At 45.1% G+C, this 26,107-nt stretch overlaps 1 protein-coding gene across 11 annotated transcripts in view, besides 1 other annotated feature; it reads left to right on the top strand.

Annotated features, from left to right (window-relative positions):
* DENND10 (DENN domain containing 10) overlaps positions 1-24,726 on the top strand; it is a 33,872-nt gene extending 9,146 nt beyond the window's left edge. For 8 of the 11 annotated variants that reach the window (NM_001303111.2, XM_006717849.5, NM_001303112.2 and 5 more), the window contains 6 exons: positions 4,261-4,409; positions 7,083-7,194; positions 10,211-10,311; positions 16,257-16,364; positions 19,257-19,351; positions 23,213-24,726. In NM_001303111.2, the coding sequence (NP_001290040.1) occupies positions 4,261-4,409; positions 7,083-7,194; positions 10,211-10,311; positions 16,257-16,364; positions 19,257-19,351; positions 23,213-23,389 (742 nt within the window). In that variant the 3' untranslated portion in view covers positions 23,390-24,726. The remainder of the gene's footprint in view (positions 1-4,260; positions 4,410-7,082; positions 7,195-10,210; positions 10,312-16,256; positions 16,365-19,256; positions 19,352-23,212) is intronic. The other 3 variants (XM_017016264.3, NR_130122.2, NM_001303113.2) reach the window with 3 other exon arrangements.
* Positions 7,299-7,593: an enhancer, noted in NCBI's record as "tiled region #2644; HepG2 Activating DNase matched - State 5:Enh". NCBI's record gives its function as "activates a minimal TATA promoter and a strong SV40 promoter by Sharpr-MPRA in HepG2 cells {active_cell/tissue: HepG2}" and the evidence as "EXISTENCE:reporter gene assay evidence [ECO:0000049][PMID:27701403]".

A 26,107-nucleotide genomic window follows, 5' to 3' on the forward strand; every position in this document is an offset into this window, starting at 1 on the left:
AGCTCACTGTAACCTTGAACTCCTGGGCTGAAGCAGTCCTCTCACCTCAGCCTCCCAAGTAGTTAGGACTACAGGTGTGTGCCACTGCTCCTGGCTAATTAAAAAATATATATATATTTTGTAGAAAGGTGGTCTTACTATGTTGCCCAGGCTGGTCTTGAACTCCTGGGGTCAAGTGATCCTCTGCCTTGGCTTTTCAAAGCGCTGAGATTACAAACGTGAGCCACTGCACCTAGCCCTTTAAAAAAAAAAATGTTGTTACTAGATAGAATTATAATTCTAGGTGTCATGTTACCGTCAGGCTTTTCCCTAATACAGAGATTTTTGGGGGCACTGAGGGTGAAGGGAATTGTTTTTGTTTTATAAGCCTAATAAATGGTAGGCTTTTGGCTATTTTTGTGCGTGAATGTATATACACACACCAAAAGAAGCAAAAAAAAAAAAAGAGAAAAACTCTATCATAAGACTATCTTCTCATTACCTAAGGGTTTCAGTTAGATTATATCTTGGCTAAATGAGATTTCACCATTTTTGCAACCAGCCAGAATAAAAAAGCTTCCTACTCTCATAAGAACCAGGTGAATGTCTCACTGTGGATAAACAGTTGTCTGCTAATGTGGCACTTACACAAAGGGAGATTATTATTGCCAGAAAAGACGCTATCCAGAAGCCATAAACTAAAAACACTACAGAGGTATTTTTGAACAAACATTGGACTCCCATTTCATTTGGTTGAGTCAGGGTTATGTTGCTCAACTGAATTCACTGGGAAATATTCTGGAGTCCAAAAGGCAAGGTTGCTTCAGACCCCACTTCCTGCCCAGAAGGAGGCCCAGAGGGTTTCTCAGCTTGTGCAGTGCGTGGCATTGTAGTATCCTGGATTTCTTCTCCCGTCACAGTGCAAGAGAAGTGAGGACTCGGAGCTACTGCCAGCCGCCTCCTCTGCTTCCTGCCCCTTCATGCAGCACTATGCTCACTCTTGCATGTATGCACATCCAAGTATTTGCACACACACACACACACACACACACAGGTCTGTGTGTACATGCACACACTCATAGGCAAAGACTTCTTTTCTTCATGACAGTTTAACATGGAGTTGCCTCCCTCCATTTCTGGTGAGGAGCAGGCAGGCGTGCCTTCCACACACAGCTTGCTGCTCACAGTGGCAGCAGAAGCCCGCAGGAGGGAACCTCATTCCCTATGTGGCTGCAGGTTCACTGCTGTGGTCCTCTTCAGCCTCTAGTCGCTTGCTGCTAGTGGCCCTGCTAGAGAACCGGGGTTTCATGCACACTTGCAGTCAGCTGTACAGGCCTCGATGTGTGGCAGCCTATGGATGTCTATCTGAACAAGGTGCTTGGGGTCGCACTGTGGGCTTTTCCTGTGGAGTGGTTTTGGGGGGATTTCCCCCTCTGTTTTATCTCTCCTGGCCCAGGGTTGTCATGTAGGAAGTCATCTTATCCTACCAACCTTATGTTTCTCTTCTCTATTACTGTGTATTGTTTCTATTTTATAATTTTTTTTTTTTTGAGATAGAGTTTCACTCTGTCACCCAGGCTGGAATGCAGTGGCGCCACCTCGGCTCACTACCACCTCCAACTCATGGGTTTAAGTGATTCTTGTGCTGCAGCCTCCCAAGTAGTGGGAATTACAGGTGCACACCACCACACCTGGCTAATTTTTATATTTTTAGTAGAGACGGGGTTTCACCATGTTCACCAGGCTTGTCTGGAACTCCTGGCCTAAAGTGAGCCTCTTGCCTCGGCCTCCTAGAGTGTAGAGATTATAAGCATGAGCCACAGTGCTTGGCCTCTATTTTAGAAAGCTAATGGCATTTTGGTTTTTTGTTGTTGGTAGTAATAAAGCACATTTAGAAACACAGGAGAATATGCAGTGAAAACTGAGCTGCCGCCTCCTCCTGTTCCCAGACTCCAGTTCTACCTCCTGATCCCCACCCCACACAACTCCCGTGACCTCCTTCTTTATATCCTATCAGAGAAGTTTTTCTCCCTGTGTGAGCCTGTGTGTGAGTTCCTGGGTTTGAATGTATTTTACATGTGTGAAAGCTCACCACATTCATTGTTCTCTACTTTTTTTCCGTCAAGTTGTGAATTGAATTGGTAATTTTTTTTTTTTTTTTTTTTTTTGAGACGGAGTCTCGCTCTGTCGCCCAGGCTGGAGTGCAGTGGCGGGATCTCGGCTCACTGCAAGCTCCGCCTCCCGGGTTCACGCCATTCTCCTGCCTCAGCCTCCCAAGTAGCTGGGACGACAGGCGCCCGCCACTACGCCCGGCTAATTTTTTTTGTATTTTTAGTAGAGACGGGGTTTCACCGTTTTAGCCGGGATGGTCTCGATCTCCTGACCTCGTGATCCGCCCGCCTCGGCCTCCCAAAGTGCTGGAATTGGTAATTTTTAAAAAAACACTGATGATTGACAAAAGTTGGCAAGCAGTTAAAACACTTGCTTTTTTCATTTAGTCTATGATAAATATAATTTTCAAGTGATCTTTTTTTTTTTTTTTTTGAGACGGAATCTCGCTCTGTTGCCCAGGCTGGAGTGCAGTGGTGTGATCTTGACTCACTGCAACCTCCTCTTCCTGGGTTCAAGCAATTCTTCTGCCTCAGCCTCCCAAGTAGCTGGGATTACAGGTGTGAGCCACCAGGCCCAGCTAATTTTTATATTTTTAGTAGAGACAGCGTTTCACCGTGTTGCCCGGGCTGGTCTCTAACTCCTGGCCTCAAGTGATCCGCCCACCTTGGCCTCCCAAAGTGCCGTGATTACAGGCATGAGTCACTGTGCCCGGCCCTCAAGTGATCTGTCTTAAATATGTTTTATTTTCTTCCCGATTTTCTATCCCACCAGCTCCTGAAAGGCCCAAATAGACCCAGTCATGTTTCTCAAGCAAAATTTAATTTTAGTTGCTCACAGGAAGAGATTTCAAGGGGAAGAGACGGATTCCACATGTGAGCTATAAATGCAGCCAGTTTCCTGTCAGCATTTTCTAGAAGCTTTAACTTGACGATGAATGTCTAATGTGCATTTATCACCAGAAACCTAAAGGAGTTTTGATTTCTTAATTATCTAAATATAGCTACCTCTGGGAACTCATTTAATAATAAGTATGGGTTCTACAACTAATTACTGGTTTCTCTGTGAACAGTGCGTAAAACTCCTTTCTCGTCAAAGGAAATCTCAGTGATAAAACAGAGTTGTATGACTGAGAACCCCAGTTGTGAATGTAAGACACAGGATAAGTGCACAACATTCTTGAGAATCCTGGGACCTCAGGAAGTTCGTACTTCATTCTCCTGCCTTAGTACAACAAGGGGCTCCCAGATGTAAGGAGATGGCTGAGTCCAAAGAATTGTTGAAGGTCTCTCAAGCTTTTTCTTTTCTTTCTTTCTTTCTTTTTTTTTTTTTTTTTTTTTGAGACAGAATCTTGCTCTGTTGACCAGGCTGGAATGCAGTGGTGCAATCTCGGCTCATTGTAACCTCTGCCTCCCTGGTTCAAGCGACAATCCTGCCTCAGCCTCCTGAGTAGCTGGGATTACAGGCATGTACTGCCACACCTGGCTAATTTTTTTTTTTTTTTGGTATTTTTAGTAGAGGTGAGGTTTTGCCATGTTGGCCAGGCTGGTCTCCAACTTCTGACCTCAGGTGATTCGCCTGCTTTGCCCTCCCAAAGTGCTAGGATTACAGGCATGAGCCACTGCGCCCGGCTGCTTTTTCTTTGAAATATATTTTTAATTTAGAGAGAAATGATGCTACTTGAAAGTAATACTACTTTCTACATGAAAAGATTCAAGCATTCAGGCCAAGCGCAGTAACTCAGCAGTAAGTGCAGTAAGTGCAGCTGTAATCCCAGCACTTTAGGAGGCTGAGGTGGGCGGATTACCTGAGGTCAGGAGTTTGAGACCAGCCTGGCCAACATGGTGAGACCCCGACTCTACTAAAATTACAAAACTTAGCAGGGTGTGGTGGTGCACACCTGTAATCCCAGGTACTCGGGAGGCTGAGGCAGGAAAAACACTTGAACCCAGGAGGTGGAGGTTTCAGTGAGCCAAGATTGCACCGTTGCACTCCAGCCCGGGCGACAGAGTGAGACTCTGTCTCAAAAAAAACAGAAGAGTGAAGCATTCAGAAGGGCAGTAGCAAGGTGGCCTCGGATTCTTGAGAAGGCACCCATACCAGCCTGGGTGCACATCTGTACATGATTTGTGCCAAATGAAATCACAGTTGCTTTGTTGTCCTTTCTTACAGAATGTACCTGAAACATGGGAGCCCAGTTAAAATGATGGAGAGTTATATTGCAGTTCTCACAAAGGGGATATGCCAGAGTGAAGAAAACGGCTCTTTCCTTAGTAAGGATTTTGATGCCCGAAAGGCCTACCTGGCTGGCTCCATCAAAGGTAAGAAGGGAAAAAACAGGCCAGGGACGGTGGCTCACGCCTGTAATCCCAACACTTTGGGAGGCCAAGGCGGGTGGATCACGAGGTCAGGAGATCGAGACCATCCTGGTTAACATGGTGAAACCTCGTCTCCACTAAAAATACAAAAAATTAGCCGGGCGTGGTGGCACCCGCCTGTGATCCCAGCTACTCGGGAGGCTGAGGCAGGAGAATCAGTTGAACCTGGAAGGCGGAGGTTGCAGTGAGCCGAGATTGTGCCACTGCACTCCGGCCTGGGCAACAGACGAGACTCCGTCTCAAAAAAAAAACAAAAAACAAAAAAAAGAAGGTAAAAACAAAACCCTTCCAACAACAAAATCCCCAAGCCAAAAACAGTCTCATTAGATCCTATTGTGCCTAATAGAATAATTACATAATTAGATTATCTAATTAGAATTATCTAGTTATTAGATAATTCTAATCCTTCCATACGTTATTTTCATTTACATATTTTTCATATCATTTGTACACAAGAGGGTGCCTTTAACCCCCGTATTTCCTTATTGAGTTAGAATTCTCTCAGAGGAAAACAGGTTTTTGTGGTGTTTGTTTCCATATTATTCTATTGGCTATTTTAGAAATATTTTCTCGCTGGTGGGCTGAATTTTGTGCCTCGAGGTCTTCATGGATTACATTTCTTTTCTTAGATCTTAGCAGTTATCTCTGTCATCTGAAGAGCCCAAGGCCTTGACCACAAACTCCTAATTTAAGTTCCAGCTGGAAAATCCAAAATGCAGACAGCTCAGGCCTAAGCCACAGACTTCAGGGTCCCTGAGCAGGAGGCGAGGGGAACTCTGAAGGCGAGGCTGCCCTCTGTCATGTCCTCCCATGGTGCCCATCTGTCTTTCCTTTTGATCCCGCTGTTCTTTGAATTTTCTCAGCATCCCTGTTGAGGTGGTAGGTGTTTGTCAGGCTAACTTAAGGACTTAAGTAATTATACTGGGGGACATGGGGGAGTTAATAGACTTTTTTTTTTCCTTTTGAGACAGGGTCTTGCTTTGTTACTGAGGCTGAAGTGCAGTGGTACAATTACGGCTCACTGTAGCCTTAACTTCCTGGGCTCAAGCAATCCTTCCACCTCAGCCTCCCGAGTAGCTGGGACTACAGGTGCACACCACCATGCCCAGCTAATTTTTTTTTTTTTTTTTTTTTTTGAGTCAAGAGTCTCACTGTGTCACCCAGGCTGGAGTGCAGTGGCACAATCTCAGCTCACTGCAACCTTTGCCTCCCAGGTTCAAGTGATTCTCGTGCCTCAGCCTCCCAAGTAGCTGGGACTACAGGCACCTGCCACCACACCCAGCTAATTTTTTTTTTTTTTTTCTTTGAGATGGAGTTTTGCTCCAACAAGTGTTGCCTAGGCTGGGTGGCGCGATCTTGGCTCACCGCATCCTCCGCCTCCTGGGTTCAAGTGCCTCAGCCTCCCAAGTAGCTGGGATTACAGGCATGTGCCACCACGCCTGCCTAATTGTGTATTTTTAGTACAGATGGGGTTTCTCCATGTTGGTCAGGCTGGTCTCGAACTCCTGACCTCAGGTGATCCGTCTGCCTCGGCCTCCCAAAGTGCTAGGATTCCAGGCATGAGCTTCCGCGCCCGGCCGCTAATTTTTGTATTTTTAGTAGAGATGGGGTTTCACCATTTTGGCCAGGCTGGTCTCGAACTCCTGACCTCAGGTTATCCACCCGCCTCGGCCTCCCAAAGTGCTGGAATTACAGGTGTGAACCACTGTGCCCAGCCTAATTTTGTATTTTTGGTAGAGATGGGGTTGCACCATGGTGGCCAGGCTGGTGTCAAACTCCTGACCTCAGATGACCTGCCTGCTTAGGCCTCCCAAAGCGCTGGGATTACAGTGTGAGACACTGTGCCCAGCCCCAGCTAATTTTTAAACATTTTTTAGAGACAGTCTCCCTGTGTTGCCCAGGCTGGTCTCAAACTCCTGGGCTCAAGTGATCCTCCCACCTTGGCCTCCCAAAGTGTTGGTATTACAGACATGAGTCACCCTGCACCTGGCAGACATTTTTTTTTTTTTTTTTAAATCAGGAAGTTTTAATGATACAGAAAGATGCTGGTTCCCTTCACATCAGTTGTTTCAGTTTTTTGTGAGTCTAGCTTCCTCTATGCATCCCATCATAGAGTCCCTTGCGGGGCAGAGCACACGTCCTGGGAAGCTGACATAGGATAGATCTACTCTTCCACCAAATAAAGTGTTTGTATGCTTTACAACATTTGCCTAAATTCTCTGTATTAAAAATAATTTTGTACGTCAGGTGCTGTGACTCACACCTGTAATCCCAACACTTTGGGAGGCTGAGGTGGGTGGATCACTTGAGGTCAGGAGTTCGAGATTAGCCTGGCCAACATGGTGAAACCCCGTCTCTACTAAAAATACAAATATTAGCCAGGTGTGGTGGTGTGTGCCTGTAATCCCAGCTACTCGGGAAGCTGAAGCAGGAGAATCGCTTGAGCCCAGGAGGCAGAGGTTGCGGTGAGCAACTATCTTGCCACTGCATTCCAGCCTGGGTGACAGAGTGAGACTCGGTCTCAAAAAAAAAAGAAAAAAGAAAAAAAGAAAAAAAAATCTTTATTTCTTTGCATGATGTGTAATGCAGTAACATTACAATTTCTCTTTTTTGAAGACATTGTATCTCAGTTTGGAATGGAAACTGTTATCTTACACACAGCACTGATGCTAAAGAAAAGAATTGTGGTGTATCACCCCAAGATAGAAGCGGTCCAGGAGTTCACCAGGTATCACCTCTAATTATAAAAAAGTGTTAACTTTGTTGGCAGACAGTTCGCAGCACTAGATGTTACTGTGTGCTCTGCTGTGTTGCACATTTGCTATAAATAGCATGTGGTGAAATACCACCTTTGGTCTGAAGTTTCTGTTTAGCTCTAGTAGTTCAAGGTTACTGATTTGGACTATTTATGACTATTTTAGAGCAGGGGATTAGCAAACTTTTCCTTGCCAGACAGTAAATATTTTAGGTTTGTGAGCCATATGGTCACTGCCCCAACTACTCAACTGCCTAGGTAGCACAAAAGCAACCATGGAGGACACGTACATAAATGACTCAGCATGGCTGTGGTCAATGAAATTTTATTTTCAAGGACAGGCAGCTAGGCTGTGGGCCATAGTTTGCTGACCCGTTTCAGGTAAATTGTTCCTTCTGTTCAGTTTTATCAAAGACTCTTTTTTTTTTCTTGTTTTAATTAAAAAGTTTTAGAGCAGGACAAAGACTCTTACTTTGATAGTACATATAGATTTTTTAAATTTTATTTTCATTTTTAGTAGAGATGGGGTCTTGCTGTGTTGCCCAGGGTGGTCTCAAACTCATAGGCTCCAGTGATCCTCATGCCTTGGCCTCCCAAAGTGCTGGAATTACGGGTGTGAGCCACTGTGCCCGGCCAAAATAAATGTAGATTTTGTTGTTGTTAATAATTTTTTTGCCAGGAGGGTCAGTTCAGGGCCAGGAGGTGCCTGCCAGGCCCTGTCCCCTCTAACAGCTCCCCCACCTGCCATACAGATTTTTAAAGATTTTTTGTTTACTAAATCTAACTTGTTATTAGGTCCTTTTAAATTTTTTTCATTTTTATTTTTTTTATATTTTTTGTCGAGATGGGGTTTCTGGGGTCTCACTATGTTGGCCAGGCTGGTCTCGATGTCCTAGGCTCAAGTGATTCTCCTGCCTCCGTTGAGATGATTACAGACATGAACCACCACACCCAGCCATTAGGTCCTTTTTTTTTTTTTTTTTTTTTTGGAGGCAGAATCTCTCGCTTTGTCACCAGGCTGGAGTGGTACAGTGGCGCGATCTTGGCTCACTGCAACATCCACCTCCCGTGTTCAAGTAATTCTCCTGCCTCAGCCTCCCGAGTAGCTGAGACTACAGGTGCGCACCACCACGCCCAGCTAATTTTTGTATTTTTAGTAGAGATGGGGTTTCACCATGTTGGCCAAGATGGTCTCGATCTCTTGACCTCGTAATCTGCCCGTCTCGGCCTCCTGAAGTGCTGGGATTACAGGCATGAGCCACTGTGCCCGGCCAGGTCCTTCTTTAAAAGCAAGAGGACTTAGCATTCGTGTTGGGTTTACTGTATGTCAGGCATTTTGTAAGATACCTTAAATTATTAAATTTACTCATAACAAGAACCCTGCAAGGAAGTATTTTTACCCTGTTTTATGAATGAGAAAATTAAGGTTGGCAGAGTATAGGTATAAGGTAATGAAAAGAACAAAGGCTTCATAGTCAGAAAGACCTGAGTTAAAATCTTGGGAGGGCAACTTATTAGCTCTGTGAACACATAAAAGATAATGTTGGCCGGGCATGGTGGCTCACACCTGTAATCCCAGCACTTTGGGAGGCTGAGGTTAGCAGATTGCCTGAGACCAGAAGTTCAGGACCAGACTGGGCAACACAGCAAAACCCCATCTCTATAAAAAAATACAAAAATTAGCCAGGCATGGTGGCATGCACCCGTAGCCTGAGCTACACAGGAGGCTGAGGTGGGAGAATCGCTTGAGCCCAGGAGGTGGAGGCTGCAGTGAGCCATGATCACGTCACTGCACCCCAGCCTGGACGACGGAGTGAGGCCCTGTCACAGAAACAAAACAAAAGGTATTGATTGTTTCTGAGCCTGTGTTCCTTTATCTGTAAAATGAAGATCGTAATATCTACTTACAAGTTTGTTAAGACTGGAAATAATTTATGTAAGATGCTTAACATGTACCTAGCCTGTAAGACACACTTTAGAAGTTATTATTGTTATGATCATGATTGCATCAGATTTTAAGTGAGAGAGACAGAACTTTCACCCTGCCCTCTCTGGGTCCAAAAGCCCATATTTTCTATCCCATCACCTTTTCCCCCTCTACGTATGCTCCTTAAACTGGAGCGGTCACAGCTTCTGAGATATTTAGCAGGGCACCAGGGGTTCATGAAGCCACAGATAAATTTGATACATCTTGTTGCAGTCATTATTCTACCATAAGTTTTTTTCAGAGAAATCTATGTCTTAGGGAAACAAACACACTTGGTTTGCGAGTTTTACTAAAATTTTAAATATAAATGGGAGACTTCCAGAAAATTTCTTGCTTGCAGAGGTGACTTTGAATTTTACCCTTAGACTCCCTTTCCATGGCAGTCTCCAGAGTGGGATTTTTCAGAGGAAAACCTTAGAAGCGTCACTCTTTGCTACCACAGGGATCTTTTGAAACTTCACCTTGAGCTTTCTGTAGCTGATCTGATCCCCAAAAGCAGAGTTTAAAACATTGCAGAGAGGCTGGGTGCAGTGGCTCACGCCTGTAATCCCAGCACTTTGGGAGGCCAAGGCAGGTGGGTCACCTGAGGTCAGGAGTTCAAGATCAGCCTGGCCAACATGGTGAACCCCCATCTCTACTAAAAATACAAACATTAACCGGGCCGTGGTGGCAGGCACCTGTAGTCCCAGCTACTTGGGAGACTGAGGCAGGAGAATTACTTGAACCCCAGAGGTGGAGGTTGCAGTGAGCCAAAATCGCGCCATTGCACTCCAGCCTGGGTGACGAGTGAAACTCCATCTCAAAAAAATAAATAGTAAAACATTGCATTGCTTTAATTTGAAGCCCAGAGGTTAGCACATTTGGGGCTTGGTCTCACCTCTGTCCCTGATTAGCTGTAGACTCTACCCTCTTCATTTCCTTCTCAGGAAGAGGAGAAGGGGGCAGGCTGAGTCTTTAAGGTGTGGACCAGCAACAACTTGAGTTCTTGCCTTGATTCCCCAGGACTCTGCCTGCCCTGGTGTGGCACCGACAGGACTGGACCATCCTTCACTCTTACGTGCACCTCAACGCCGATGAGCTGGAAGCCCTGCAGATGTGCACAGGTAGACAAGAGGATCCCAGGGGAGGAACTGTTTCACTTTTTTTTTTTTTTTTTTCCTGAGACGGATTTTCACTCTTGTTGCCCAGGATGGAGTGCAATGGCACGATCTTAGCTCACCGCAACGTCCGCCTTCAATTCTCCTGCCTTAGCCTCCCAAGTAGCTGGGATTACAGGCATGTGCCACCACGCCTGGCTAATTTTATTCCACTTTAAAGAGGGTTTTTTGTTTTTATTTTGTGCATTCCCAAGTGGGATACTGATCCTTTATTATTTCTTTGGCACATGCAATCAATTTTTTGCCCTTAAATTTTTTTTTTTTTTTTAGTTTAAAAAAAAATTGTGGCCGGGAGCGGTAGCTCACACCTGTAATTCCAGCACTTTGGGAGGCCAAGGTGGGCAGATCACCTGAGGTCGGGAGTTCAAGACCAGCCTGACCAACATGGAGAAACCCCGTCTCTACTAAAAATACAAAAAATTAGCTGGGTATGGTGGCACATGCCTGTAATCCCAGCTACTTGGGAGGCTGAGGCAGGAGAAACACTTGAACCTGGGAGGCGGAGGTTGCGGTGAGCCAAGATCACACCACTACACTCCAGCCTGGGCAGCAAGAGCAAAACTCCGTCTCAAAAAAAAAAAAAAATTGTGGTAAAATGCATATAGGATTTACCTTTTTTTGGCCGGGCGCGGTGCCTCATGCCTATAATCCTAGCACTTTAGGAGGCTGAGGCAAGTGGATTGCCTGAGCTCAGGAGTTTGAGACCACCCTGGCCAACATGGGGAAACCGTATCTCTACTAAAATACCAAAAAAAAAAAAAAAAAAAATTAGCCGGGTGTGGTGGTGGGTGCCTGTAGTCCCAGCTACTCGGGAGGCTGAGGCACAAGAATCACTTGAACCCAGCAGGTGGAGGTCGCAGTGAGCTGAGACTGAGCCACTGCACTCCAGCCAGGGCGACAGAGCGAGACTCTGTCTCCAGAAAAAAAGATTTACCTTTTTTTTTGAGACCAGGTCTTCCTGTGTTACTCAGGCTGGTCTTGAACTCCCGAACTCAAGCGATCTGCCCATCTTGGCCTCCCACACTGTTGGGATTACAGGTGTCAGCTGCTACGCACAGCTACATTTACCTTTTTAACCATTGGTAAACATACAGTTCAGTGGCATTAAGTACATTCACGTTGTTGTTCAGCCATCATCAAAATGCAGCCTGTTTTTGGCTGGGCACAGTGGCTCACACCTGTAATCCCAGCACTTTGGGAGGCCGAGGTGGGGTGATCGCCTGAGCCCAGGAGTTCCAGACCAGCCTGGGCAACATAGGAGACCTGTCTTTTAAAATTTTTAAATTATAAAATAAAATTTAAAAAATGCAACCTATATTTAACTATTTAACCTGTAAAGTTTTTTTTTGTTTTTGTTTTTTTCTTGGGACGGAGTTTTGTTCTTGTTGTCCAGGCTGGAGTGCAATAGTGTGATCTCAGCTCACTGCAACCTCTGCCTCCTAGGTTCAAGCAATTCTCCTGCCTTAGCCTCCCTAGTAGCTGCGATTACAGGCACCTGCCACCATGCCCAGCTAATTTTTGTATTTTTAGTAGAGACAGGGTTTCTCCACGTTGGCCAGGCTGGTCTCAAATTCCTTACCTTAGGTGATCCACCCACCTCAGGCTCCCAAAGTGCCTGGATTGCAGGCATGAGCCATTGTGCCTGGCCGAACTTGTAAAGTTCTAGTCTTAAAAGTTTATCAGTGACTTTTTTTTTTCATCTTAACTTTTTAATTGTTATGGGTATATAATAGGTATATGTATTTATGGGGTACATATGATGTTTTGATACAGGCCTACAATGTATAATGATTACATCAGGGTAATTGCAGTATCCATCACCTCAAGCATTTATGATTTCTTTGTGTTAAGAACATTGTGATTCCACTTCTAGTTTTCTTTTTTTTTTTTTTTTTTTTTTTTGAGTTGGAGTCTCACTCTGTTGCCCAGGCTGGAGTGCAGTGGCACGATCTCAGCATACTACGGCCTCCACCTCCCAGGTTCAAGCGATTCTCCTGCCTCAGCTGCCTGAGTAGCTGGGATTACAGGTGTGCACCACCATGCCCAGCTAATTTTTTTGTATTTTTGGTAGAGAGTAGAGATGGGGTTTTACCATGTTGGCCAGGCTGGTCTCAAACTTCTGACCTCAGGTGATCCACCCGCCTCAGCTTCCCAAAGTGTTGGGATTACAGGTGTGAGCCACTGTGCCCAGCCAACTTCTAGTTATTTTTAAATATACAATAAACTATCATTCACTGTAGTCACCCTATTGTGCTATCAAATACTAGGTCTTATTCATTCTAACTATATTTTTGTATCCACTAACCATCCCAAATTTTCCCCCTCTCCCCACTACCCTTCCTAACCTCTGGTACCCACCATTCTACTCTCTATCTCCCTGAGTTCCATTGTTTTAATTTTTAGCTCCCCCAGATTAGTGAGAACATGCAAAATTTGTCTTTCTGTCCGTGGCTTCTTTTACTTAACATGATGCCTCCAGTTCCATCCATGTTGTTGCAAATGACAGGATTTCATTCCTTTTTATAGCTGCATAATATTCCACTGTGTATATGCACCACATTTTCTTTTCCATTCATCTGTTGATGGACACTCAGTTTGATTCCAAATCTTGGTGGTTGTGAACCGTGCTGCAGTGAACATGGGAATGGTGGTATCTCTTTGATACACTGATTTCCTTTTTTGGGGGTAAATACCCAGCAGTGGGATTGCTGGATCATATGGTAGTTCTATTTTTAGTTTTTCGAGGAATTTCCATACTGTTCTCCATAGTGACTGTACTAATTTACATTCCTACCAACAGTGTACGAGAGTTCTTTTTCTCTACATTCTTGCCATCGTTTGTTATTGCCTGTCTTTTTTGAGACAGAGTCTCCCTCTGTTGTCCAGGCCAGAGTGCAGTGGCATGCTCTCAGCTCACTGCAACCTCCACTTCCCTGGTTCAAGCAGTTCTCTTATCTCAGCCTCCTGAGTAGCTGGAACTGCAGGCACCCACCACCATGCCTGGCTAATTTTTGTATTTTTAGTAGAGACAGGGTTTCACCATATTGGTCAGGCTGGTCTCGAACTCCTGACCTCAGATGATCCACCTGCCTTGACCTCCCAAAGTTCTGGGATTACAGGCGTGAGCCACTGCGCCCAGCCGTCTGTATTTTTTTTTAGAGACAAAGTCTTGCTTTATTGCCTGGGCTTGTCTTGAATTCCTGGGCTCTGGGATTATAGGCATGAGCCACTGTGCCTGGCCATTTTCTTATGAAAATTTTTCTTTCTCTTTTTCTTTTCTTTTTTTTTTTTTTGAGACAGGGTCTTGCTCTGTCGCCCAGGCTGGAGTGCAGTGGCTCAGTCTCGGCTCATTGCAACCTCCACTTCCTGGGCTTAAGCCATCCTTCTACCCCAGCCTCCCAAGTAGCTGGGACTACAGGCACGTGCCACCATGCCTGGCTAATTTTTGTATTTTTTTTTTTGGTAGAGATAAGGTTTCACCATGTTGCCCTGGCTGGTCTCGAACTCTTGAGCTCAACAGTCCTCCCGCCTTGGCCTCCCAAAGTGCTGAGATTATAGGTGTGAGCTACTGTGCCTGGCCTAAACATTTTTAATGTTTTTTATTTCCCAGTGAAGTTATTAATTTATCTGGAATAATTTTTTGTGTAGTGTGTGAGTTTGGGATCTGACTGAACTTTTTTACCCTATGGATAACCACTTGGACCAGGACATTTATTGAATAATCTCTTTCTTTTTTCAGTAATGAGTAATATTACTTGTCATCTGTCACATTTTCTCATTCATGGGTGGGCCTGGGTCTGGCTCTCAGTAGTAGGTTTTGTTTTTGTTGTTTTTTAAATTATTTTGTTTTATCTTATTTTATTTTATTTTTTTGAGACAGAGTCTCGCTCTGTTGCCCAGGCTGGAGTGCAGTGGCGTGATCTTGGCTCACTGCAACTTCCATCTCCCAGGTTCAAGCAATTCTTGTGCCTCAGCCTCCCGAGTAACAGGGACTACAGGCATGTGCCACCATGCCCAGCTAATTTTTTTTTTTATTTTATTTTTAGTAGAGATGGGGTTTCGCCATGTTGCCCAGGCAGGCCTCGAACTCCTGAGCTCAAGCAATCCACCCGCCTCAGCCTCCCAAAGGGCTAGGATTACAGGCATGAGCCACTGCGCCTGGCCACCAGCTAATTTTTGTATTTTTAGTAGAGACAGGGTTTCATCATGTTGGCCAGGACAGTCTCAAACTCCTGGCCTCAAGTGATCCTCCCACCTCGGCTTTCCAAAGTGCTGGGATTACAGGCAGGAGCCACTGCCCCCACCTGTTATTTTTTAACTGTCCTTGCTTGGTAAAGTAAAACTCTAGGAATGATAAATTGGTCCTGTATTAGTGTGTTCTTGCACTGCTATAAAGAAATAACTGAAGGCCGGGTGGGATGGCTCATGCCTGTAATCCCAGCACTTTGGGAGGCTAAGGTGGGTGGATCACCTGAGGTCATGAGTTCAAGACCAGCCTGACCAATATGGTGAAACCCTGTCTTTACTAAACATACAAAACTTAGCCAGGTGTGGTGGCATATGCCTGTAGTCCCAGCTACTCAGAAGGCTGAGACAGGAAAATTGCTTGAACCCAGGAGGTGAAGGTTGCAGTAAGCCAAGATCGTGCCACTGCCCTCCAGCCTGGGCAACAGAGCAAGACTCTGTCTCAAAAACAAACAAAAAGGCCAGGCACAGTGGCTCACGCCTGTAATCCCAGCGCTTTGGAAGGCTGAGGCAGGCGGATCACGAGGTCAGGAGTTCGACACCAGTCTAGCCAATATGGTGAAACCCCGTCTCTACTCAAAATACAAAAATTAGCCAGGCGTGGTGGCGCACACCTGTAGTCCCAGCTACTCAGGAGGCTGGGGCAGGAGAATCTCTTGAACCTGGGAGGTGGAGGTTGCGGTGAGCCGAGATCATGCTACTGCACTCTGGCCTGGGTGACAGAGCGAGACTGTCTCAAAAAAAAAAAACAAAAAAACTGAGACTATAATTTATAAAGAAAAGAAGTTGAATTGGCTCACAGTTCTGCAGGCTGTACAGCAAGAATAGTGGCTTCTGCTTCTGTGGAGGCCTCAGGAAACTTACAATCATGGCAGAGGGTGAAGGGGAAGCAGGCACGTCTTACATGGCTGGAGCAGGAGAAAGGTGGGGGAAGGTGCCGTCCACTTTTAAACAACCAGATTTTGTGAGAACTCAATCACGAGAACCACACTAAGAGGATGGTGCTAAACCGCTCATAAGAAATCACCCCCATGATCCAGTCACCTCCGACCCGGCCCCACCTCCAACATTGAGGATTACAGTTCGACATGAGATTTGGGTGGGAACACAGATCCAAACCATATCAGTCTCTCCTCAAATAATTTTTTTTTTTGGTAATTGTATTGCTCTGTGAAATCAAAAAAATCTGGGAATCATTGTTCTAACACCAATCCCAGAGATCTGCTAATTCCTGAGTTGCCCTGAACCCTTAAAGATGATGCCATTTCCACTCTGAGAACCCAGGCATTTGCCATTGATTTCCTGAAGGCAAAGACCTGAAGGGGGAACATCAGTCAAGAGAGTCCTTGCTACCTTCTGCCACAGCTGTCATTCTTGACCCCAAGAGCAATGATTGGAAAGTAAATGCCCTACTTCAGTCTTGTCCTTGACACTGATGGATAATTTTGGAATATCTGGCGTTGTGTGAATATCTTCAGGCAACTGATAGTAATGTAGTCTTACTAACTGCCACAGGGTACAGCTAATGTTCCCGAATGAATAAAGCAGTGAAAGAGAGCAGTCGATGAGCTTTTAGACCCAATTCTTTTGATGGGTTCACCATATTTCTTCCTACTCCAGTAAGGTTGCTCATGTTTGTGATGCAGGTTACGTCGCTGGATTTGTAGACTTGGAGGTGAGCAACAGACCAGACCTCTATGATGTGTTTGTGAATCTGGCAGAGAGTGAGATTACCATTGCTCCCCTTGCAAAAGGTTTGTTCTCTGTTCTGTTCTTGATACAAGATATAAGCCAAACAGTTGTACATTTTTAGGCTGATTCTCTAAAACCAGTATGTGAGGGCTGGCTTACCAACTCTGCTGAAGATGGATATTTCCGTGTCTAGAACACAACATTTATTCCTATAAACATAGACATATTAGCAGAACATCCCGGGTGCTTATGCAGCAGAGTGTATATTAAGAAGTTAAATAGTCTGTTCATCTTGTTTCACTACTTTTGTGTTTAAACAAGGTGTATTATCTACTGCCACATAACAAATCACTTCAGAACTTAGCGGTTTATTTTCTTAATTTTGAAATGTTTCTGAGTCATACAGAACTCAGTGGTTTAAAACAACACATATTCCTTTTTCTTTTCTTCTTCTTTTTTTTTTTGGCAGAGTCTTGCTCTATTTCCCAGGCTGGAGTGCAGTGGCCTGATTTTGGCTCACTGCAGCCTATGCCTCCCGGGTTCAGGTGATTGTCATGTCTCAGCCTCCCGAGTAGTTGGGTTTACAGGCATGCACCACCATGCTCAGCTAATTTTTTTTTTTTTGAGATGGAGTCTTATGCCCAGGCTGGAGTGCAATGGCACGATCTTGGCTCACTGCAACCTCCGCCTCCCAGGTTCAAGTGATTCTCCTGCCTCAGCTTCCCGAGTAGCTGGGATTACAGGCACCCGCCACCGCACCCAGCTAATTTTGTATTTTTAGTTAGTGATGGGGTTTCACCATGTTGGTCAGCTGGTCTTGAACTCCTGACTTCATGATCTGCCTGTCTTGGCCTCTCAAAGTGCTGGGATTACTTACATATGTGAGCCACTGCGCCTGGCCTAATTTTTGTATTTTTACTTGAGACAGGGTTTCACCATGTCGGCCAGGCTGGTCTCGAATTCCTAGCCTCAAGTGATCCACTGGCCTCAGCCTCTCAAAGTGCTGGGGTTACAGGCGTGAGCCATCATGTTCTAAAACAACACATATTTATCTCACAGTTTTGGCGGATCAGGAATGACTTATGTAGAGGTAGTTTGGCTCAGGAAGTTTCAGTCACGATATCCCAGAGCCACAGTCATCTGAAGGCTCCACTGGGGCTGGAACATCCGCTTTCAATGTGCATGGCTGTTGGCAGGAGGCCTCAGTTCCTTCTGCCATGGGCCTCTCCATAGGGTTGCTTGAGTGTTCTTACAATATGACAGCTGGCTCCCCAGGAGTGAGTGACCCGAGAGAGAAAAGGAAGTCACAGTGCGTTTTATAATCTTGCCTTGATAGTCACCATTACTTCCTCCATATGCTATTTGTTAGAAGCAAATCACTAAGTTTAGTCAACACTTGAGAGAGGAATGTCTCCACCTCTTGAAGAAAGGAGTATCAAAAAATATGTAGGCGTTTATCACTACACAGGGTTAAATGTGACTCCAGTATGGAAAATCTTTTTGAAGCATGTCTTAGTAAGCATAAGGGAATGAAGCTGTTCTTAGAGCTAATGATCAGGAAAGGGTGTACTAGTGTTAGAGTGGCATTCTTAGACATTCTAAATTGTTCCAAATTAGGCCGGCCATGGTGGCTCACGCCTGTAATCCCAGCACTTTGGGAGGCCAAGGCGGGTGGATCACGAGGTCAGGAGATCGGGACCAGCCTGGCTAACACGGTGAAACCCCGTCTCTACCAAAAATACAAAAAATTAGCCGGGCGTGGTGGCAGGCGCCTCTAGTCCCAGCTACTCGGGAGGCTGAGGCAGGAGAATCAGTTGAACCCGGGAGGCAGAGCTTGCAGTGAGCCGAGATCGCGCCACTGCACTCCAGCCTGGGTGACAAAGCAAGACTCTGTCTCAAATAAATAAATAAATAAATAAATTGTCCCAAATTACAGCTACATAAAGTAGAAAAGATTGGCTTAAATGCGTGTTGAGCACTACTCAGGTAGTGGTTTTAGATGGGATTACTGATTAACAGCTTTGTTTTGTCACTTATCTTTCTCCTAAAAGTGGGGGCAGCTGAATGCTGACTCATTGGGAATTGTTAGATTCGATTATGTGAGGTTTTATTGAAAAATTCAAATTAATAGAACCATAACTGGCTTTCCTTTAATTCGTTTTAAAATTGCAAACATAATGCATGCTCATGATGAAAAATTCAAACTATGGGGTCAGATCTTTACGAAATAACTGCCTTTTGCAAAGCGAAAGTGAAAGAAAACTGGCTGTGGCTAGGGCCACTTAAGCAGCTGAAGCATTAGGACCAGAAAGGGTGGCCATCTTCCTGCTGCCCTGTGTTGCTCTGTGTCTATAAAAATGGGCTCATCCTAATCCGCACCAGTTGAATGGAGTCTGTCTCTTGAAGTGACAAACAAGTTTCTGTTAACCTCCTCAGTGCAGACAGTAGCAATGTATGTAACCAGGCTAACTTAGGTGGTTTCCTTTGCTCATTTCTAAGAATCTAAACGAATTGAGCGCCCAGCTGGCTTCTGCAGAACTGACAGGAAGCTCCTCTTTCACAATATTCCCGCCAAAAAGATACATTTCTTAACTGTAAAGAGCTGGACTAGAACGTCAGACTCTTGGCTTATAGTCATGACTTAGTTGTAGTCAGAATTGTTCATTATGCTTTGTCTGGGAAGAAAAATAAAAATTTTGGTCAGGTGGGTGTGAAGGGGAAATCTGGTTTGGTGTGATGTGTTTTTATGTTTGCCCAGAAGTATAAATCACGATTATATTATGCCTTTCCTCCCAGCATGTTGTCATATTTGTGTCTAGTGATAAAATGGACATGTGGGAGGTTATCAGCTGCTTTTTGAAAATTCCCTCAGTGTGGTCTTCCAAGTTTTCAGATAGATGGCATGATTATTTTTTATGTCGATTTCTAAATATTCACCTTCTTGATCTCACCAGAGGCCATGGCAATGGGCAAACTGCACAAAGAAATGGGTCAGCTAATTGTTCAGTCTGCAGAAGATCCAGAGAAATCAGAGAGCCACGTTATACAGGTAACTCCCTCACCTTCTGACTTACTGAAAGTCCTGACCCGGTGTCGCTGGGTGGTGTGCGGCAGAGCTGTGCACATAAGCAGAGTGGGGGGCTGTGGTAGAGGCCAGCGGGCAGGTGCTTAGAGAGGGTTTACAGACGGCCACAGTGATGATGGACAAGCAGGTGCAGGCTGGCCTGATCTAGTTAGTTACTGGGCTCGAGGGCAGGTATACACAGGGGCTGGTGCTGACACCGACCGCTGGCAATGAGAAATGTAACTACCAAGTGGTCTGGAAGGCTTTTCTGGGCCAGCCAGTGCATTCTTTCTTCCTAGGAGAATTTCCCTGGAGGAACAAATTATAAAGGGGAGGTTGTTGCTGAGCATGGGGAACTAGATTGTCAAAATTTTGCTTTGCTTGTCTCCAGGACAACAGAAATCATGCAGTCAGACTCCTGTCCCACTTAGTGACTGTTGCCACATGCCGCAGAGCCAGCTCCTTGCTGGTGTCTACCTGGCATGCTGACCAGCGTCCATGTGGCCCAGTGGGCACCTGCTCTGCCCTTGCCAAACTGGGATGGCAAATGGGTTTTATTTCTTGTGCTTTCCACGTGGTGGCCTGCAGCCCGCCCAGCTCCTTGCATTTGGCCTGTTCCCAGCTCCTTGCTCCTCTCCTGAAGGATACACTTCCAGCGTTGCCTTATCTAGATGCCTGACTCATAACCTGGGGCTGGAGGGCCCAGAAGGACTGTCTCCCATCTGCACCTGTCCTACCTGGGGGTACGGGGGCACCTCTGATATGCAGGCTTTACTCATTCGGCCCAACCTGATGCCTTCTTCATTTATCCATTCATTTACTCAGTGTTTCTTGAGCTCTGTTTGTTAGGCATTGCACTGGCAGTGGGGATGCAGTGGTGAGCAAATCCCTGCCCTCATGGAGTCTGTAATTTAGTGGAGTAGATGCACAGAAAATAATAAATGACAAGATAATTACAGCCCATGTTAGGTGCTGTGACAGAAGGGGTTGAGGTGGAGAATATTGGGGGATGGGTAGGCCAGATCTCTAAGGAGGTGACATGTCAGCGGAAAGATGAGAGGGGCCATTTCTCTGCAGTGCTGGTGGCCTGGCCAGCTGTGAGCAGGAAGAGTGGGCTGATCTTGCCCTGAGGACCTGAACACTGGAGACTCTGGGGCCGCTTCTTTCCTACCATGGGAATCCTCACTGCCCACCTACCCCCAACATTAGAGTAAAGACATATTCTTACAATATCAGCAACATATGTGAATCTGAGTTTTGCATTACTGTGTTGTTCACAGACTAAAAGTGCTACCTAGATGACTTAGTATGACGTATGAGACCTTGGGGAGGGCAAGTGAAAGTGCTGGGAATGCTGTAAGGGTTCAAAAATACATGAATGAATTAATGATGTCAGCAAACAAGGAAGAAGACGTGACTTTTTTTTCCCTTTTTTGAGTTTCACTGTCGCCCAGGGTGGAGTGCAGTGGTGCAATCTTGGCTCACTGCAACCTCCACCACGTGGGTTCAAACGATTCTCCTGCCTCAGCCTCCCACGTAGCAGGCACTGGGATTACAGGGGCCTGCCACCACACCTGACTAATCTTGCATTTTTAGTAGAGATGGGGTTTCACCACGCTGACCAGGCTGATCTTGAACTCCTGACCTCAAGTGCTCCGCCTACCTCAGCCTCCCAGAGTGCTGGGGATTACAGGCATGAGCCACCACGCCTGGCCAGAAGACATGATTTTTTTTTTTTTTTTTGGAGACAGAGTCTCGCTCTGTTGCCTAGGCGGGAGTGCAGTGGCGTGATCTTGGCTCACTGCAACCTCTGCCTCCCAGGTTCAAGCGATTCTCCTGCCTCAGCCTCCCGAGTAGCTGGGACCATAGGCATGCACCACCATGCCTGGCTAATTTTTTTGTATTTTTAGTAGAGGCAGGGTTTCACCATGTTGGTCAGGCTGGTCTTGAACTTCTGACCTCAAATGATCCACCTGCCTCGGCCTCCCAAAGTGCTGAGATTACAGGCGTGAGCCACCATGCCTGGCCAGAAGACATGATTTTAATGAGTGCTTTAGTGAGTCCTCAGCCACCCAAAAGGAATAAAGCCTGCGTGGCAGGTGCCGGGTTACTTATCCCAGGCAGAAGAGGACTTTTGGGAAGAGATTCCTTCAAAAAAACAATAGCAGCATTTCTCAAAAAGTTAAACATCAAGTTACCATATGATTTAGCAATGCTGTTTCTGGGTATATACCCAAAATAATTGAAAGCAGGGACTCGGCCAGGCCCGGTGGCTCATGCATGTAATCCCAGCACTTTGGGAGGCCGAGGCGGGCGGATCACCTGAGGTCAGGAGTTCAAGACCAGCCTGGCCAACATGGTGAAACCCATCTCTACTAAAAATACAAAAATTAGCCGGGTGTGGTGGTGGGCGCCTGTTAATCCCAGCGACTTGGGAAGCCGAGGCAGGAGAATCGCTTCAACCCGGGAGGCGGGGGTTGCAGCGAGCCGAGATTGTGCCATTGCACTCCAGCCTGGGCAACAAGAGCAAAACTGTCTCAAAAAAAAAAAAAAAAAAAAAAAAGAAAAAGAAAAGAAACGATACTGTAAAAATATAGCATTATCATCTTATGGGACTACCATTGTAAATGTGGTCCCTGGTTGACCAAAACGTCATTATGTGGTGCATGACTGTACTCGTATGGAAATATCCATAGCAGTGTTACTCACAGTAGCCAAAACGTGGCAGAAGCAACCCAGTGTCCTTCAGCAGATGAATGGGCAAGCAAAATGTAGTCTTTATATACAGTAGAATATTACTCAGCTTAAAAAGGAATGGAATGTTTTGAATGTGGCTTTTGTTGGGGGGGAGAAAAGGAATAGAATTCTGATACATGCTATAGCATGGATGAACCTTGAAACCATGCTAATGAAATAAGCCAGACACTAAAGGGTAAATGTTGTATGATTCCACTTATATGAGCTATCTAGAGCAGACAAATTCACAGAGTTAGACGGCAGAATAGAGGTTCCCAGGGGCTAAGCGAGGGGAAATGGGGTTATTGTGTAATGGGTAGAGTTTCTGTTTGTGATGGTGAAACGTGCTGGAAATAGTGGTGATGGTTGTGCAACGCTGCAAATGTACTTAATGCCACTGAATTATACACTCAGAAAATGACTAAAATTGTAAAAAAAAAAAAAAAAAAAAAAAAACCAAAACCACACACTATGATTTTTCTAAGTTAATTTTGTTTCATTTTTCCTAATTTTTTCTTTAAAAAGAATTATCAGGCCAGATGCAGTGGCTCAGATCTATAATCCCAGCAGTTTGGGAAGCCAAGGTGGGCAGATTGCTTGAGCCCAGGAGTTTGAGACCAGCCTGGGCAACATGGTGAAACCCCATCTCTACAAAAAGTATTTAAAAATTAGCTGGGTGTGGTGGCGCATGCCTGTAGTCCCAGCTACTCAGGAGGCTGAGGTGGGTAGATCACTTGAGCCTGGGAGGTCGAGGCTGCAGTGAGCCATGATTGAACCACTGCACTGCAACCTGGGTAACAGAGCGAGACCCTGTCTCGAAAACAACAACAAAAAAAGGAGTTATCTTTTTTGTTGTTCGTTTTTGAGACAGGGTTGCCCAGGCTGGAGTGCAGTGGTGCAATCATGGCTCACTGCATTCTCTAACTCCTGACTCAAGACATTCTCCTGCCACGGTCTCCCAAAGTGCTGGGATTACAGGCATGAGCCACCACGCCAAGCTCATTTTTCATAGTTTATAAACAGTCTGGAAAAAATAGGAAGAATTCTAGAGACTAAATATTCAAATTTCGGATACTAACATGTTGCATATATTTTCCTGTTCTATTAAAGGATATTGCTCTAAAAACAAGAGAAATCTTTACCAACCTAGCACCGTTTTCAGAAGTTTCGGCTGATGGAGAAAAGAGAGTCCTTAATTTGGAGGCGCTAAAGCAAAAACGATTTCCACCAGCAACAGAAAACTTCCTTTATCATCTAGCAGCAGCCGAACAAATGCTGAAAATCTGACTGTGTGACAGAACGTATCACTGATGACTGATAGAAAGCCCTCTTTCACTCTGATTACCCACTCACTACATGAAGTCCTGAAAATAACAGAGAAACTGTTATATCTTTTTAATGATTTATTTGCAAGTATTGAGATTTGACCTGAAAAACAATGAAACACATGAACACACTTCCGATTTTCTCCTCGCTGATTAGCTTCCTGCCTGCTGTCAGTGCTGGACGAAGTGCTATAACTACTTTATGTAACATTACAGAACAGCTAGAGGTCCTGGGGTAAGAGAAAAAAAGCACATCACAACAAATGTGAAAGCCTTCATTATTACACGTTCCAGTTTGTCTCGCTGTGTAGGCATAAGCTAATGGTTTATTTTCAGAAAGCTGCCTGAAACGTTGCTTTGTATTCTTCTAGGAAGAACTTTAATTCCTCCTGAGGAACTCTACTTTCTGAGCCAAACTGCTAATTTTCTGCGGAACTGTCTAGAAGATCATTCAAGAGACCCTGCAGTTGCACTTTCTCGTAAAAGTTAAAAAAAAAAAAAAAAAAAAAAGGTTTTTCCCGGCCTTTGAACATTTTGCCTATGAGAGTTTTGCATATATTTTATACTTGAGTAGACAACTTTAATAATCCATATTTATACTATCGCAGAAGTAAGCATTTGGCAAACGTTCAGCCATTAGCACTCATTTAACCCTGTTAGCAATATTCTTTTGAAAAAAGTGCCAGTCCTTATGTGATAAACTAAGAAGCCCATTGAATATAAAAGTGTGTAGGACTGAAACAGTGACCTTATATTATTGCTAAGGGAATATGAGATTAACTTCCTACAGGGGCCAAAACCAGAGAAAGGCTTCCAGCAACTTCGATGAAAGTAGTTTGGCCACATGTCAAGCCAATTGTTTGTACTATTTATGTACCTTTTTCATAACTGGAATTGCCAAATAAGCATGGAGATCTAAATGATGTACTTGTTAGTGTATTCATTCATATTGACTGTAAAGGATTATTTTTCACTCAGTACTGATGTCCTTGGAAATCTTACCTGGAAACATGTTTGCAAAAAACATTATTGGGTCTTTCATCTTTTTCTTGGTATTACATATTTGTTCAATAAAAATTAAACACCCTCCCTTTTTTTTGAGTGAGGGCAGGGAGTACCTGAAATAAGACAATGTTTACTAAGGCAAATAATTGAAAATTAAATCTGCACTTTATGGAAATGAGGAATATTAACATCTTTTTTCTCATTTTTTTGTATTACTATATTAGCTAATGATCAAAGTTGTTAAAATTATAAATTTATGATGCAGAAATAAAATTGATATATTTTGATATTCAACTACTTTTAGGTGGGTGACGAATTGTCCCCTCTTTCTCTAATACTGCTCATTCCAAAGAAAATGGGGAAAAAATACCTTTTTTCAACTGTGAGGGCGCTAGGGAATTATTAAAAGACCTGTCTGAAAGTTCAAGACGGCCAAGGGCGCGGTGGCTCATGCCTGTAATGCCAGCACTTTGGGAGGCCGAGGTGGGCGGATCACCTGAGATCAGGAGTTTGAGACTAGCCTGGCCAACGTGGTAAAACCCCATCTCTACTAAAAGTACAAAAATTAGCTGGGTGTGGTGGCACATGCCCGTAATCCCAGCTACTTGCTATTTGGGAGGCTGAGGCAGGAGAATTGCTCGAACCAGGGAGGCGGAGGTTGCAGTGAGCCGAGACTGCACCATTGCACTCCAGCCTGGACAAAAGAGCGAGACTTGGTTTCAAAAAAAAAAAAAAAAAAAAGTTCAAGCCGTCCCCCACACACCCTTTCCTCCCGCCCTAGCCCTCCTCCACTCGCCTTCCTGGAGCTGCCTCTGTAACTTCAGTCTCCTGTCCTTGGAAGATGCCTTCACATTTCTGTCATCTGTTAGCGGTTAAACCTCCACCTGCAGCTGTTGCCCATCTTGTTCTCTAACTTTAATTTTGGTTAGTGTCAGCCTATGGTCAAACTGAGCCATTTACTGATTTTGTCCTTTTAGGCTGTTATGAAACTTTCCTCACCAAATTTGGAAATGAACCATCATACTGGCCTTGGGGAAACAAAACCACAGATAAATTCTTTGGTAATGTGGGGTAGGGTGTGTTGGAAGCATTAGTCCAGTACTCAAATGTTGAGGTACCTACTCTGTGCCATGCCTGTGTTGTATTTTGAACTACCCTGATGGGCAGCAGCTCCCGCTCTCGCGGTGCTGCGCACAGTCCGCTTGGGGAATAGGGTCAGCAAACAGGCTGCTGTAGTGTGGCTAGTGCTAGGCGTGATGTGTGAAACAGAGTGGTATTGGAGCACATAGATGGGGACCCAGTTCAGTGCTGTCAATCCTGGAAGGCCTCCCAGAGGGAGTGATCAATGTCAAAGTCAGGCCTGAAGCATTAAGTAGACATCTACTCAGACCAGAGGAAACAGCTGTGTGAAGGCCCTGAGAAGAGACCACAGCCCATGTGAGGACCTGGAGGGTCTACAGGGAGGGGAGGGAGTGGCAGGATACGAGTATGGGAAAGGCTTGCTGTGGTGAGGAAGGTGGGCTTGATCTTGACGCACTGGGAAGCCATTTAAGGCTTTTCAGGCCCGGTGCGGTGCTCAGGCCTGTAATCCCAGCACTTAAAGAGGCCAAGGTGGGTGGATCGCGGGGACAGGAGATGACAGCCTGGCCAACATGGTGAAACCCCATCTCTACTT

The sequence above is a fragment of the Homo sapiens genome, chromosome 10 (genome assembly GCF_000001405.40).
Source record: "Homo sapiens chromosome 10, GRCh38.p14 Primary Assembly".
NCBI classification, from domain to species: domain Eukaryota; kingdom Metazoa; phylum Chordata; class Mammalia; order Primates; family Hominidae; genus Homo; species Homo sapiens.